The sequence below is a fragment of the Homo sapiens genome, chromosome 10, assembly GCF_000001405.40.
Source record: "Homo sapiens chromosome 10, GRCh38.p14 Primary Assembly".
Classification (NCBI taxonomy): domain Eukaryota; kingdom Metazoa; phylum Chordata; class Mammalia; order Primates; family Hominidae; genus Homo; species Homo sapiens.
The window spans coordinates 69,447,695-69,462,250 of record NC_000010.11 but is presented as its reverse complement, the minus strand read 5'-3'; the positions used below and the strand labels follow the sequence as shown (position 1 = coordinate 69,462,250).

Genomic DNA, 14,556 nt, shown 5'->3' with positions numbered 1-14,556 from the left:
AGCAGGTGGATCACTTAAGCCCAGGAGTTCAAGACTAGGCTGGGCAACATGGTGAGACACTATTTCTACAAAAAAAAAAAAAAAAAAAAAAAAAACTTTAAAATTAGCCAGGTATGGTGGCACATGCCTGTGGTTCTAGCTACTCAGGAGGCTGAGGTGGGAGGATCACTTGAGCCCAGGAGGTCAAGGCCACAGTGAGCCATGATTGGACCACTTGCTCTGGGTGACAGAGCAAGACCCTGTCATTATAATTTTTTTTTTTTAATTACGGGTGCCTGGGCCTAGACCAGACCCACTGAATCAGAAGCTCTGGTGATGGGGGGGGTGGTGGCGGGGGGGTGGTGGACATGTGTTCTTGTGAAATCCTCCCAGGGTAGGAGGCCTTGAGCCATGAAGTCAAGGTCCACTGGCCAAGAAGTTCCTGTCTTTTGACTCTGGGAAGTGACCTAGTCTCAGAATCCTGTGCAGCCTCGGCAGCCAGCACCCCAACCCTACTGCACCCAGGGGATGGTCCCAATCTGCCACAGGGTGGGCCAGAGGCTGGCCTCAGCCCACCACCAGCCACACTGTGCCCATGCCTGCACCCAGCACCTGGCACACAGTGAGTGCCCAGAAATGAACACTCTGACCCCAAGCACCCCCACAGTCTCCCCACACTGCACCCAGCACAGCCGGAGAGGTCAGCATGGCCAACCCTCTGGTAGGAGATGGGAAACAGCCTGTGTCACTCATACAAGGTCACAGGCAACATCCTGAGAGGGACTTCCAGTGGCCCCAGGAGTAGGGGGTTCCTGCTCTCCCAGGCAGGAAGTGGGAGGGCTCTGAAGAGGGAAAAACAAGCCCATCTGGGCCAAGGCTGTTTTCCTTCCACCCTCCAGTGAAATACTTGCTTCCCTGCAGGCCCAGATGCAAATGTCTTGGCGAGAAAGTCCCTTTTGGAAAAAATTAAAACCCAACAGTAACCTTTCCCACAGTGAAACAGTTCTTGTCCCAGGAACACATGCAAATGATGGTTCTCACACAAGTTACTTCCCCGCTCAGGGCCTTAGTCTCCTCCTCTATAAAATGGGACAAGGCACATGGGGTCATTCTGAGAATGCAAAGAGATGAAGCAAACTGTGGTGAGACACGTGGCAGACGGCGTCTCCTCCCAGCATCTGCATGAACGGTTACCCAGCCAGATGCCCACTCAGCGCTCTGTGGGCACTGCCTCATCTAAGCCTCACCCCTGTGGGCAGCACAACAGTTATCCCCTCCCAGCAGACAAGAAAACCAAGGCACAGAGAGTTGTCCATGACTTGTCACATGGACCTTCTCCTCACCCGCCAACCAAGAAGTGCTCATCCTCCTCAGCTCTGCTTGGCCTCCAGACCTGGTCTTCCCAGAGGACATTTCTGACCTCAACACTCAGGCCCAAAAAACATTCTGTAGCCCGCCCTCCCTCTCCTAAGACTCATCTCCACTCCTCTCTGCGAGGCCTCCCTGCCCAGTGAAGCCCTCAGAGTCCTCCCAAAGACTCCTCTGTAAAACAGGACAAGACCCCCTGTCCAGCCCAGCTCAAGGGTCACTCTGAGAATCCAAAGAGATGAAGCAAAATGTGGTGGTCAGGCCACCACAGTCAGGCAGCCTAGCTCAGACTGGCCCTTGATGGAACCAGCTCCTCCAGCCAGCTGGTCTGACCCCTTGGGCGTGCATGTGGTCTTTTCCAGGGACTGGGCCCTTCCCACCCCTTAGTTCCTGGGCTAACATGGCACATCGCCAGAGGCAGAGATGGCTGCCAGCTCCTTCACAGGCCAACCCTCTAGCTGGGGAAGGTGACATCGTAAGTCTACAGTGTCTCTACGGTGTCTCTTCCTCACCTCCACCAGCCCAGGGGCCTAGCTTGGAGCTGAACAACTCATGCTGACCGAGGGCTGGGACCCCTCAGAGCCTAGCAGGACACTTCTCAGACGGCCTGCCTGGCCCCGCGTGCCTGTTGTGGCCTAGTGCTTCTGACAGTGTGCCATGGTAGCCCAGAAACTAAGGGGTGGGAGGGGCCCAGCCTCTGGAAAAGACCACATGCACACCCTAGGGGTCAGACCAGCTGGCTGGAGGAGTTGGTTCCATAGCCATCTGTTCTAGGCAGGCTGAGTACCCCCAGGGGCAAAGGAGCCTCCTCTGACAAGACGGATTCCAGAGGTTCTCATCTCATCTCATCTCATCTCATCTCATCTCATCTCATCTCATCTCATCTCCCCAACTACCCCTGAGCAATGCAAGGCTCCCAGGTGACTCTCCCTCCCTCCGTGGGCAGGGAGCCCTAGAGTCTCCCTCCATTCGTGGGGGGGGGGTGCCTAGAGTCTCCCTCCCTCCGTGGGTGGGGGACCCTAGAGTAGGCCCCGTGCTTTGGCACCTCTCATCTCACAGGATCCTCCCCACTGCCCTCTGGGGTACCCACAGAGGAGGCATCTCGGAGGCTCAGAGAGCTGGTCCTTTACCCAGTGTCACACAGAATAGCCAACACCTGATCTAGGTCTCTGGATGGCAAGACCACAGGGCCTGACAATGAAACCCTGCTTCTCAGTCACTCGAACCCCAAACTCTTCACACAGCCAGGCCCCTGCCACCCTCTCCACCCACAGCGCAGCCCTTCCCGGGCTTCCTCATCTGCTGTAGCCATGCTTGCGACCTGCCTCAGGGACTTTGAACTCATGGCTCTCTCTGCCTGGGATGCTCTGGACAAGTCTTTATGGCTGGCTCCTTCTCTATTTGAGCTTCAGCTGAAATGTCAGCTCCTCATAAAGGCTTTCCCTGACCACATCATCGAAAGTGGAAACGCCCATCCCTCCCCACTTGCTCCCTAATTTTCTCCTTAGCACCTATCACAAGTGATATTTATTTACTGCTCTGTCTTCCAAGGCCTGGACTAAACCTGTCTTGTTCATAGTTGCTTCCCACACCTATCACGGTATCACAGTGCCTGGCATTCAGTAGGCATCAAATAACTATTTGTTGACTTAATGAACAAACCAACCAACCAGAGAGCACGGCTGGTTAAGACTGAATGCTCCTGCCTTCCAACAAGAAGTCAATTCAAACCCATTCACATCTAAAAGTTCTCTCTGGGAAAGGTTGTTTTGTTGTTGTTTTTTTTTTTTTTTTTTTTGTCTGTTTTGTTTTCCCCCCATCAACCTCTTCTGACCAGACTTACCCAGAAAACATCTTTCCCCTGTGTGGAGCCAGTTGGTACAGAAATTTCATTATCAGTCCCTTATCAGGTTGACCGTGAGCCCCACCCCAGGGTGGCACTGTGAGTCACCTGGGAAGAAAGGCCTCCGGGCAGGAGGGCAGGTGGTTATTCCTGCTTCTCCAGGAACCAACCCAAAGGCAGCAAGGTCCAGTCCTACGACATAAAGCAATTCCTCTATTAAAGCGGGGAACGAGACCATGTACAAAGTCTAGGTTAAGAGCGAAGGACACTTCTCAGGGCCTTAGTTTGCTCATCTATAAAATGAAGGTGTTGGAAGGTTCTCCAAACCCCTGGCAGGGCTGCAGCCCTGATTCTCTGGATTTTAAAGGCTCTGTGGCCAGACTGGGGGAGGGGAGGACCTCTCTGTGCCCGAGGCCTGAGCCCAGTCTGATGCTATGAGATCATCTCTGACAGCCCGTTAGGCACGGCTGGCCACTTCTCCAATATGAAGGCTGCCCCACTTTCAGCTTCACTATTTGAGTTTCACTATTTGGAATGCTTACCTAGAGCCAGAAAATGAACTTTGCTCGACAAATCAAACACAATAAGAAAGATAATTAAAGAAATAAAATGTCTACATATATGTACAAGATGTCCAGATGGATGTTTACCAACATATAACAGTGGCTGAATCCCAGTGGTAGAATCAAAGGGGACTTTTGCTGTTTTCGTTGTACTTTCCCAAATGGCTTGAATCTTTTAAGCTATGCGCATGTATGATTTTCACAAAAATAATAAAGCTCTTCTCGAAAGTAAAAATCTCCTGGAAACTGTCTCCAGAGAAGTGCTTTCTTTTTGGCCTGGCTTCACCTAGTGCTTCACTGGGAGGCCAGGGACGTGGCCTCTTTCAGAAAGGTTATCTTCTACCCTCACCCTGAGACCAGGGAGAAACATACATGGCGCCTGGAAAGGTCATGGGGGCCCGAGGAAGAAACTGGAGTCAGGCAGCCTGGATCTGGTCTTGGCCTGTCACTGACTTGCTGTGGGCTTTCAGGCAACTCACTTCTCTTCAGGCCTCTGATTTCTTATCGGTAAATTTAAAAGGCTGCACTAGAGGTGTCTTTAACAGCCCTTCTCATTCTTAGTCTATGGCTCTTGAGCAGCAAGGCTAGAGAGGAAGGCAGGAAAAGAACGACTAATCCATGACTAGTTGATGGAGTGTTCATCATGTGCCAGGCACCACTCTAAGCTCTTCAGATGTATTAATCCATCTAATCTGCTTAGCAACTCTTCAGGTAGGTTAGGTGCATGGAAGTTATGTCTAGGCCACTTAACCTTTAAGTGTCAGAGCTGGGATTTGAACCCAGGCAACCTGGTACACAGCCCACACTCTTAACCATTAAACTATAAGAAATGTAAGAAATCACAGGCCAAGCTCTAATAAGCAGGTTCATCCTTGGAGAAAGCCCAGAAAGAGTTCCTATTGCCTCTGGCATTTGCTGCCTCCACCACCTACCCACCCTCAGCTCCTCCCTACTTGCCCCCAACTCCCACCAAGTCCTTTTCTTCCTGATTAGTCAACACTCCCCAGCCATGACACCTTTACCCACTTGAAAGTCCTACCCTGTTATCAAGGAAACAGGCTTGGTGCTCTGTGGAGAGTCCGTAGCACCATGATCAGCCCTGCCCACTTTGCAAAGTCAAGGCCTCAGCAGACCTGACCACTGCGGGTTACACCCCCAGCCAGGCCTCTGCCCCAAGCTGGATCCTCGCCTTGTAGGTACAAGTGGGACTCAATCACCATCATGCAACATGCCTCCCCTGAGCACCTACTGTGTGCACAGGCCCCAGGGGCAGCATTCAGAGGAGGATATGGATGAACTACAATCCTGACCTCTGGGAGCCCACAGTCCAGCAAGGAAAAGCAGTCCTGTAAACGGATCTCTAAGATACCCCGTGGGCAGTGCTAAAATTAGAGGTGTGTCCCCAATGGGCTGAGGGCGCATGTGTCAGAATGATTCACCCTGTGTGGTGGGAAAAGGAGGCTCTAAGTGCCTCAGCGTGAGCTCATTTCTCCCGCAGACATCCCCATGACTTACTGGAAGGGCCAAGGAGCACCTACCTGAGGATGCAGGGACCTGGGGTACATGCCAGCTCTGACAAGTGAGCCTCAAACACACCCTTTTGCAGCCCCAAAGTTCCCTGCCGAAAACAAGAGGGCCCTGAGTGTGGGACAGATAACCATAAGTGGTTTAGGGGTATACCTATCATAGGGACTTACAGACTGAGCTTTCCTCGTTCAATGCCCTTTCGACCCCTCCGATTGCATCAAGGAGCGGGTCTCAGTTTGGGTGCTAGTTTGTCTTTCAGCCCCTCAAGCACTTGCCAACCTACCTTTTGAACAGAGAGGGTAGGCGTCAGGGTCACAGCCTTCAGCACCCATGACATCCAGCTAGGATTTAGTATCATTGTTTTGTTTTCCCTGTACTGTACTTATTTTAAACCTTTACCTGCTATTTATGATGGGCGTCTTGGTTTCCCATTCATAATACTGATATAAAGCCTCCTTTTAAAAATAAATTTAAAGGCGTGCATATTCAGGGCAACTTGAACCTATGTGCCTGGAAAATAAAAAATATATACTTTAAAAAAGGGAAAAAAAGGAAAAGAAATTTAAGTTTAAAAAGGAAGTTTAGGCTGGACACAGTGACTCACGCCTGTAATCCCAGCACTTTGGGAGGCCCAGGCTGGTGGATCATTTAAGGTCAGGAGGTCGAGACAGTCTGGTCAACATGGTAGAACCCCGTCTCTACCAAAAATACAAAAATTAGCCCATCGTGGTAGTAGGCGCCTGTAGTCCTAGCTACTCGGGAGGCTGAGGCAGGAGAATCGCTTGAGCCTGGAAGGCAGAGGCTGCAGTGAGCCAAGATCACACCATTGTACTCCAGTCTAGGTGAAAGAGCGAGGCTCTGTCTCAAAAAAAAAAAAAAGTAAGTAAATTTAAATAAACATATTAAGTAAATAATATTACAATTGGTGTCACCTCTATATAGGACAATTTAATAACATCAAAATGTTAAATGCACATACAAAAACAGGCAAAGCTATTCTATACTGCTAGATAATCCAGTGGTGATCACCCACAAAGGTAAGAGATAGTGCCTAGAAGAGGGTTTGAGGGGTATCTGCCTTCTGCTGTCCATTCTGCTGGTTGACCTGGGGGCTCAGTGTACAGGTGTGTTCACTTTGTGAAAACTCATCAAGCTGTATATACTGATGGCAGGTGCGTGTCTGCATGTATAACATATATTCATATACCCCTTAACTCAACAACCCCACTCCTAGAATTACTCCACAGACATATACACCCATGCAAAATGACACATTCAGAGATACTCACTGTGTCACTGTTCTCAGTGAAAGAAAGAAAGGAAGAAAGAAAGAGACGGGGGGGGGAGAGAGAGAGAGAGAGAGAAAGAAAGAAAGAAAGAGAAAGAAAGAAAGAAAAGAGAAAGAAAGAAAGAGAGAGAGAGAAGAAAGAAAGAAAGAGAAAGAAAGAGAGGGAAAGAAAGACTGGGAACAACCTAAGAGTTCCCCAGCTGGGGACTATTAAATAAATGTGGCATAGCCTAGAGTGGAATCTATGTAGCCAACACACAGAATGAGGCAGCTCCTAGCAGATCTCCATAATTCACGTGGATTTAAATTTAAGTGAAAGAGGGGCTACATACGTAGTTCTGTGTATAGTGTGCTACCTTATTTTAAATATACATATGTTTGTCCTAGGACATCCTTTGACTACGATAGCTCAGAAAAGAGTGACAGGAAACTGATAACAAAGGCCTCCTCTGGACTGGGCAGGCCAGGAGAGAGGGGTAGGAGGGGAGGCTTGTCACTAACCACTACCCTTTCCTTTTTTTTTTTTTTTTTTTTGAGACTGTCACCAGGCTGGAATGCAGTGGCGCTATCTAGGCTCACTGCAACCTCCGCTTCCCGGGTTCTAGCGTTTCTCCACCTCAGCCCTCGCTGTAGCTGAAACTACAGGCACACGCCACCATACCCAGCTAATTTTTGTATTTTTAGTAAAGACGGGGTTCCGCCATGTTGGCCAGGACGGTCTTGATCTCTTAACCTCACGATCCGCCCGCCTCAGCCTCCCAAAGTGCTGGGATTACACCTCACCCGGCCTTACCCTTTTCTACTTCTAAATTTTGTAACAAGCCCATGCATGCATTTCTATCAGTAGTAATTTATTTTTTATTTTTTATTTTCTGCAACAGAGTCTCATGCAGGCTGGAGTGCAGTGGCACAATCTCAACTCACTTCAACCTCCGTCTCCTGAGCTCAGGTGATCCTCCTACCTCAGCCTCCCAAGTAGCTGTGACTACAGGTGCATGCCACCACGCCCAGCTAATTTTTGTATTTTTAGTAGAGACAGAGTTTCATCATGTTGCCCAGGCTGGTCTCGAACTCCCAGGTTCAAGCAATCTGCCCATCTTGGCCTTCCAAAGTGCTAGGATTACAGGCATGAGCCACAATGCCTGGTCAATAGTAATTTTTTTTTTTAAACCGAGTCTTACACTGTCACCCAACTACAGTGCCGTGGCACGATGTCAGCTCACTGCAACCTCCACCTCCTGGGTTCAAACAATTCTCATGCTTCAGCCTCCCGAGTAGCTGGGATTACAGGCACACACCACCACGCCTGGCTAATTTTTGTATTTTTAGTAGAGATGAGGTTTCACCATGTTAGCCAGGCTGGTCTCAAACTCCAGACCTCGGGTGATCCTCCCGCCTCAGTCTCCCAAAATGCTGGGATTACAAGCATGAGCCACCGGGCCCGGCCCCAGTAGTAATTTTTAAAGTAAGCAAAAAGTCTTACAGAAGGTACAAGGCTGTCATAAAACTTATGGCCCTCCAGACCTAAAAACTGAGATGCAAATTGCTAGCAGTTTGGACTTACAAAGCAAGTAACCCTTCCCTCAACCCCAGAGATGGCACCAGAGATGGCACCAGAGATAATAGGCTTTCCTGTAAATGGTTTCCAAATAACAGTAAACCTGGTCCAGGACAGATTACTTACTCACACTGGGCCCTGCCCTGCAGTCAAACTCTGGCACCTGGAGCTGCTCTGGCAGAGTTGGCAGGTGGCTGAGTTCTTGGCATGGGTGTAGAGACTTTTAAACAGAAATACTTCCAGGGATGGGAGTTAAGGATTTGGTAAGGCAACCTCAGTTGGCAGAGGAGGGATTCCAAGTTCTGAGAACCACCCTGCCCAAGAGAAGCAAGGCAAGGGCCATTGGGTGGGCTTCTCTGGGGGCTGCAAAGGACAGTGACAGAACAAAGCCTTAAAAATTAGAGTTCAGTTTTATTTAACTGCATGAGGTATGTTTGTACTGCACTGATTTTGCTCATATGTCACTCTTTCCCCATATCACTAATCCTAAAACAATTCAGTGAGGTACAGGGCAGAGATTCACTTATTCATTTTATAGATGAGAAAATGGAAACGTGAGGAGGTAGAGAGACTGGTTTGTGATTATATATCTGGGGAAGGGGTGAAGCCCAAAATACAACTCCATCTTCCTACCTCCCCACCCATCAACCTTAGGCTCTTTCAACTCTGATTTACAGAGAGAAGGGCTCACAGAACACACAAGGGGCAGGCACAGAAATCCTGGGGACTTAGGGGACCTATGAGACCATCTAGGGCAGCAGTTTTCAATACTGACTGCACACTAGAATTACCTTAATTCTAGTAAGTAATTTACTACAATTAAGCTTATGTAAATTTAAATAAATACCTATGCCAGGGCACAAGAATCTGATGCAACCGCTGATTTATAGCTCAAATCACCCCCACTCCCATCCCACATATGACCTTCTGTCTCCCTAGAGCTTCCACCAACAGGTCCTTGCTCCATCCTCCGCCCCCCAAACATACTGTTCATCTCTCCTCCACATTACCTAGAGTCAGAGAATTGGATTGGAAACTGGCCTCAGACTAGTCTTCTAGATGGAAAAGTCAATGAACAGTTCTGAGGCCCAAAACAGGAAAGTGACTTGCCTAAGATATCCATAAGTCAGTAACAGAGCTGAATCTGGATCTCCGATTACCAGGCAAGGCCCCACCCACAAAGGGGTCACAGGGAAAGCCAGTCCTGATGGCAAATCCAGCAGCTCCTGCTAGCAGAAGAGACCCAGCAAGGGGCTAAGGAGGACACCAGGGGAGAGTGTGTGTATTTGGTGGGAATGGGGTGTCAGTGACCACCCTGGGTCCCTGGGCAAGTCTGCTCTTGTGGCATACTGCAGGCAGAGAGCGATTCTGGAGTGACAGGGGCGGAGCTGGCCTATAGGAAGATATCCTCATCTCTAGAATAGGGCCCAGCCTAATATGAAACGCCCTTACAGAAACCCAATCTCTTGGGGCAGCTTACACCACAGGTGTCCAAATTCCCTGCCCACGATAGTAATAATGTCTCACACTTCTTGAGCTCTTCACTAGGCACCATACCCGGCCTATTTCACGTAATCTCCGCGAGCATCCTACAAGTTGAATATAATTACTGTGTCCATTTACAGATGAGGAAACCATGGCCGAGAGGAATGAAGTAACTTCCCCAAGATCACTCAGCAAGTGCTCATTTCAGAAACGCACAAACTGAAATTGGAACGATACAGAGATTAGCAATGTTTTAAATAAAAAATAAAATATAAAATAAAAGACCACTCGGAGCGACGGAATTCAAAGCTTGGTTCATGTCTAAACACTACCATCCTGCCCCCTAACAAGGCAGAGGAGGAGGTAAAGCCCAGCGACAGCGGAAACTGAGCACCTAGGTGTGCAGGAGACGTCGTCTGGTGGACTTCTCCTCGCCACGCAGGAGGCACGTGCATCCACCAAAGAGGAAACCAAGACGGAGCGGGGAAGCGTCTCGCTCAGGGGCATCAGCAAGTAACTAGCAGGGACCAGACCCGGAATCCAGGTCTCCCAACCCCGACTGCAAATCCTAACTACTTAAGCTCCACAGGCCGATGCAGAGGCAGTCAGTCCTACCGGGTAGGCGTGGTGGGCGCGGCCAGCGCGTTCACCTCAGCCTAGCCAGCCGGCCAGCGGACGCACAGCGGGCAAACCGCCCAGCCGGTGCACACAGGTGAGCCAGGTGGCACTCGGTCGGTCGACAACCGGCTCTCACACTCCCGAAAGGGCGGCTGAAAATTCAGGCTGAGCTCTGGCCGCCCGAATGTGAGGTAGAAAGACAAGGAGTCCGCGCGCGCTCACCCGCGCACTCCCTGGAGCGGCTAAGTGTGGACCCAACCCCGGGCCAGTGAGGGGGCGGCCGGATTGTGGGTCCCCACCCCCATCCCCGGGCCCTACTGGGGTCACTCACCCAGAACACGGTGGAATAGATGATAAGTGAAAACTTGAGCCAGAGGTAGGAGAAGCGCGCGCAGTAGCGCACCTGCTCCGAGTCCCCGCGCGGCATCCTGGGCGCTCCCCGCGCGGGTTACGGGGGCTCCGGGGCTCTCCGGCTCGGTCCCTCAGCCAGCGCTCGTGGCCCCACCTGCGGCTGCCGGGCTACCAGCCCCGCCACCGGCGTTCTCTCCGGGACTGACACTGGAGCGCGGCAATCACAGCCCCAGCCGGGAAGCCTGCCAGCCCTGGCGGCCAATGGGAGGCCGCGGCTGCCTAGCGTCTGGGAGGGGGCGGGCCAGGGGCGGGGCTGCTGCCCTGGGCCCTAGAGGGGACCAAGAAGGGATGGGAGGGGGAGACGGTCTTGCAAATGAGCTCGCGTGCAACTCTGGAAACGCCTGTGCTAATGCAGGGGGCGTGGGAGAGGTGAACCAGAGGTGCTCTAAGGAGAGAGCGAGCGTGCCTAATCGGGGTACATAGAAATGCAAGCTTTCCTCTTGTCAAGAGGGAAAACTTTGGGAAAAGGGCAAGAATTAATCGCCCAGGTGTTGAAAGTGCAAATGAGTGTGCTAAACGTGAATGGAATAAGGAAGTGGAGTTGCTCGGCTCAGGAAGGCTCAGGGAGGCAGACCAGGGTGGGGCTAATAGGCCCCCATGGAGCTGGAGTCTGAAGTTTGCTCGTGAAACAGATCTGCTGAAGGCCTTCACCAAACGACCTCGGAAGTCCCCTTCTTTTGCCAGGTGATAACCCAGCCTTGGGAAGGGTTCCTCCCGGGAAACCCCATCTTCAAACTAGGTTGAAGGCCTGGCGCGGTGACTCACGCCTGTAATCCCAGCACTTTGGGAGGCTGAGGAGGGCGAATGGCTTGAGCCCCAGGAGTTCAAGACCAGCCTGGGCAACATGGCAAAACGCCGACTCTATAATTAAAAAAAATAAAAAGCCAGGCACGGTGGCGCGCCTGTTGTCCCAGCTACTTGGGAGACAGGCGGGAGAATCGCTTGAGTCAGGGAAGTCAAGGCTGCAGTGAGCCGTGATTGTGCCAGTGCACTCCAGCCTGGGAGACAGAGTGAGACCCTCTCTCCAAAACAAAAACAAAAACAAGGCCGGGCACGGTGGCTCACGCCTGTAATACCAACACTTTGGGAGGCCAAGGCGTGCGGATCACTTGAGGTCAGGAGTTCGAGACTAGCCTGGACAACGTGGTGAAACCCTGTCTCTACTAAGAAATACAAAAAAAATTAGCCGGGCAGGGTGGTGCATGCCTGTAGTCCCAGCTACTGGGGAGGCTGAAGCAGGAGAATCGCTTGAACCCGGGAGGCGGAAGTTACAGTGAACCGAGATCCCGCCACTGCACTCCAGCCTGGGTGACAAAGGGAGACTCCATCTCAAAAAAACAAAAAACAAACAAACAGAAACTATAGGTGAGGGAGGCAGCTCCCTCTCTTGCACATAGCCAGCCACTAACCCAGCCTCCTCCCACCTGGCCTTTTCTCAGCCTGGGACCAGAGGTGGCTGTGAGCCTGTCTCTCATGCTAGATGGTCCCAGCTTTACTCACTGTTGTTTCCTGTCTCCCAAGCCTAGCTCAGCCTGGGACTTGGGAGCCAGACAATCCCTGCTGTGGCCTTCAGTAATTAAATCCATGGCAGAGGTCATAAGCTCTAGCAGTGCTGGGTGGGGTCCCTGGTGGTGATTTCAGGAACGACACTCTTATACAAGTCCCCAGTCCTGGGTTCCCAGGGCTCCTGCATACACAAACTCAACAGAGAAGGACAGACTCAGAGACTTAGTCCAGGCTGGCTTTAGCCCCCAGAGCTCTGCCCTAGGAGGAAGAAAGCAAGATTGGGGGGTGGGGAGGGAGGCAGTGCCATGCCTGGAAGGGTAAAAGGAAACCAATTTCCTGGTACAAAACAAACAAACCTTGGGAGGATGTTTGTGTGGGGTAGAGAAATAGAACCAGAGCCAGGCACAGTGGCTCATGCCTGTAATCCCTGCACTTTGGGAGGCCAAGGTGAGAGGTTTGCTTGAGTCCAGGAGTTTCAGACCAGTCTGGGCAACGTAGCAAGACCTCATCTCCACTGAAAATCAAAAAAATTAGCCAAGCATGGTGTCTCGTGCCTGTAGTCCCAGCTACTTGGGAGGGTGAGGTGGGGGTATCACTTCTCGAGCCCAAAAGATCAAGGCTGCAGTGAGCTATGATTGTGCTACGGCACTCCAGCCTGGACAACAAAGCAAGACCCTGTCTCAAAAAAAAAACAACAGGGAAAAGAAAAGGTGGAAAGAGAACCAGAGAGTAATGCAAGCTGCCCTCAAATGATTATCTGAGGGCCAAGAAGGCATCTTACCATAGTGTTAAAAGTTGTCCATTCTGGCCGGGCGCGGTGGCTCACACCTGTAATCCCAACACTTTGGGAGGCCAAGGCAGGGGGATCACTCGAGGTCAGGAGCTCAAGATCAGCCTGGCCAACATGGTGAAACCCTGGCTCTACTAAAAATACAAAAATTAGCCGGGCATGGTGATGGGTGCCTGTAATCCCAGCTACTCGGGAGGCTGAGGCAGGAGAATCACTTGAACCTGGATAGCAGAGGTTGCAATGAGTCAAGATCGTGCCACTGCACTCCAGCCTGGATGACAGAGCGAGACTCGGTCCCCAAAAAAAAAAAAAGTTGTCCTTTCTGTCCTTTGAGGAGGAAGACTAACTTTTTATTCCTCTTTGAGGGCTAGAGCCTCCACCCAGCCCTGCAGAGCTAAGTCCACACCCATTATTTGAGGTGCTAGTCTCTTCCCCACCCATAGAAGCTTGGAACCCTCTTCATACCCTGGAAGGCTAGTTTAGCCTCCTAGTTCCCTTTCATTCTCCATATTTAAACTACAGTCGAAACTGCCACACACCTCCATCAGGTTTCCTTCCCAGTTGCCCCTGGACTTCTATTCTTCCCTTCTGGCCTCTCCAGCCAGCTGCATTTTCTCTCATCTTTCAAATATTCCCTGGTGACACACAAGCTTCTTAGCAAGCCCTCTCAGCTCTCCCTAAGCCCTCGAGGTGAGCCATCCCTACAAAGAGCCTTGGAGCTCTTTGGGGCTGGCACAGCCTTTCCCTGGCTGCTGGGCTTCTTCACTGTGCCTCCCCACCTGCAATCCTGACCCTGACCCCAAGCACTAGGGCTCCTCCTGAACCACATTTGCAAACACTGAGACCTCAGAAGAAATGGCCATCTGTTTCCCACTTTTCCTCCTTTAGCCAGGAACTCTGGCCTAGGGGCCAGCAGGCCTGGTGCAAATCCTGGTTTTGCCATTACTTTTTTGTAGGACTGTTAGAATGTGTGGCATAGTGTGACACACAGGTGTGAATGCAACCCTAGCTGCAGACTAAAAGCACCTGGTAAGCTTTAAATGTATCCTGATATTCAAGCCCCACTGCAGTCAAGTCAAAATCCCCACCAACAGGAACGTGGTAATCAGTATTATTTTTAAACTCCCCAGGTAATTTCTCATTTTTATGTTTATTTTTATTTTTTTGAGAGGCAGTCTTGCTCTGTCACCCAGGCTGGAGTGCAGTGGCGTGATCTTGACTCACTGCAACCTCCGCTATACAGGTTCAAGTGATTCTCCTGCCTCAGCCTACCAAGTAGCTGACATTACAGGCCCCCGCCACCACACCCAGCTAATTTTTGTATTTTAGTAGAGACAAGTTTCACCATGTTGGTCAGGCTGGTCTTGAACTCCTGACCTCAAATCATCAGCCCACCTCCGCCTCCCTAAGTGCTAGGATTACAGACATGAGCCATTGTGTCTGGACTCCCCCAGGTAATTTCTAAAGTGCAACCAGAATTAAGCATCACTGGTACAGAGGTAGTCATGAGGGTAAGGTTGTCAGCCAACATCTTACCAGAAAGCCACATTCCAGAAGTCACTTACTCAGCTATCCACTGATATACTGGTAAATATTTAAAAACTAGCTGGTGTGGGGGAT

The 14,556-nt window shown here is 50.9% G+C and overlaps 1 protein-coding gene across 8 annotated transcripts in view, besides 7 other annotated features; it reads right to left on the bottom strand.

Moving 5' to 3' along the window:
• Nucleotides 1-10,786, bottom strand: part of TSPAN15 (tetraspanin 15) — a 98,044-nt gene extending 87,258 nt beyond the window's left edge. For all 8 annotated transcript variants that reach the window (XR_001747072.2, XR_007061951.1, XR_007061952.1 and 5 more), the window contains exon 1: nt 10,561-10,786. Coding sequence is in view for 4 of the 8 variants with exons in the window: in XM_017016010.2 (XP_016871499.1) it covers nt 10,561-10,656 (96 nt within the window). In the remaining 4 variants the exon portion in view is untranslated. The remainder of the gene's footprint in view (nt 1-10,560) is intronic.
• Nucleotides 9,766-10,266: an enhancer, noted in NCBI's record as "H3K4me1 hESC enhancer chr10:71211741-71212241 (GRCh37/hg19 assembly coordinates)". NCBI's record gives its function as "activates a minimal SCP1, AML or CMV promoter by ChIP-STARR-seq in naive H9 embryonic stem cells {active_cell/tissue: H9 hESC(naive)}" and the evidence as "EXISTENCE:reporter gene assay evidence [ECO:0000049][PMID:30033119]".
• Nucleotides 10,628-10,937: a silencer, noted in NCBI's record as "silent region_2434". NCBI's record gives its function as "represses an Ori minimal core promoter by ATAC-STARR-seq in GM12878 lymphoblastoid cells {active_cell/tissue: GM12878}" and the evidence as "EXISTENCE:reporter gene assay evidence [ECO:0000049][PMID:35858748]".
• Nucleotides 11,058-11,197: an enhancer, noted in NCBI's record as "active region_3491". NCBI's record gives its function as "activates an Ori minimal core promoter by ATAC-STARR-seq in GM12878 lymphoblastoid cells {active_cell/tissue: GM12878}" and the evidence as "EXISTENCE:reporter gene assay evidence [ECO:0000049][PMID:35858748]".
• Nucleotides 11,058-11,764: a biological region, named in NCBI's record as "H3K4me1 hESC enhancer GRCh37_chr10:71210243-71210860".
• Nucleotides 11,147-11,764: an enhancer, noted in NCBI's record as "H3K4me1 hESC enhancer chr10:71210243-71210860 (GRCh37/hg19 assembly coordinates)". NCBI's record gives its function as "activates a minimal SCP1, AML or CMV promoter by ChIP-STARR-seq in naive H9 embryonic stem cells {active_cell/tissue: H9 hESC(naive)}" and the evidence as "EXISTENCE:reporter gene assay evidence [ECO:0000049][PMID:30033119]".
• Nucleotides 11,765-12,383: an enhancer, noted in NCBI's record as "H3K4me1 hESC enhancer chr10:71209624-71210242 (GRCh37/hg19 assembly coordinates)". NCBI's record gives its function as "activates a minimal SCP1, AML or CMV promoter by ChIP-STARR-seq in naive H9 embryonic stem cells {active_cell/tissue: H9 hESC(naive)}" and the evidence as "EXISTENCE:reporter gene assay evidence [ECO:0000049][PMID:30033119]".
• Nucleotides 13,701-14,202: an enhancer, noted in NCBI's record as "H3K4me1 hESC enhancer chr10:71207805-71208306 (GRCh37/hg19 assembly coordinates)". NCBI's record gives its function as "activates a minimal SCP1, AML or CMV promoter by ChIP-STARR-seq in primed H9 embryonic stem cells {active_cell/tissue: H9 hESC(primed)}" and the evidence as "EXISTENCE:reporter gene assay evidence [ECO:0000049][PMID:30033119]".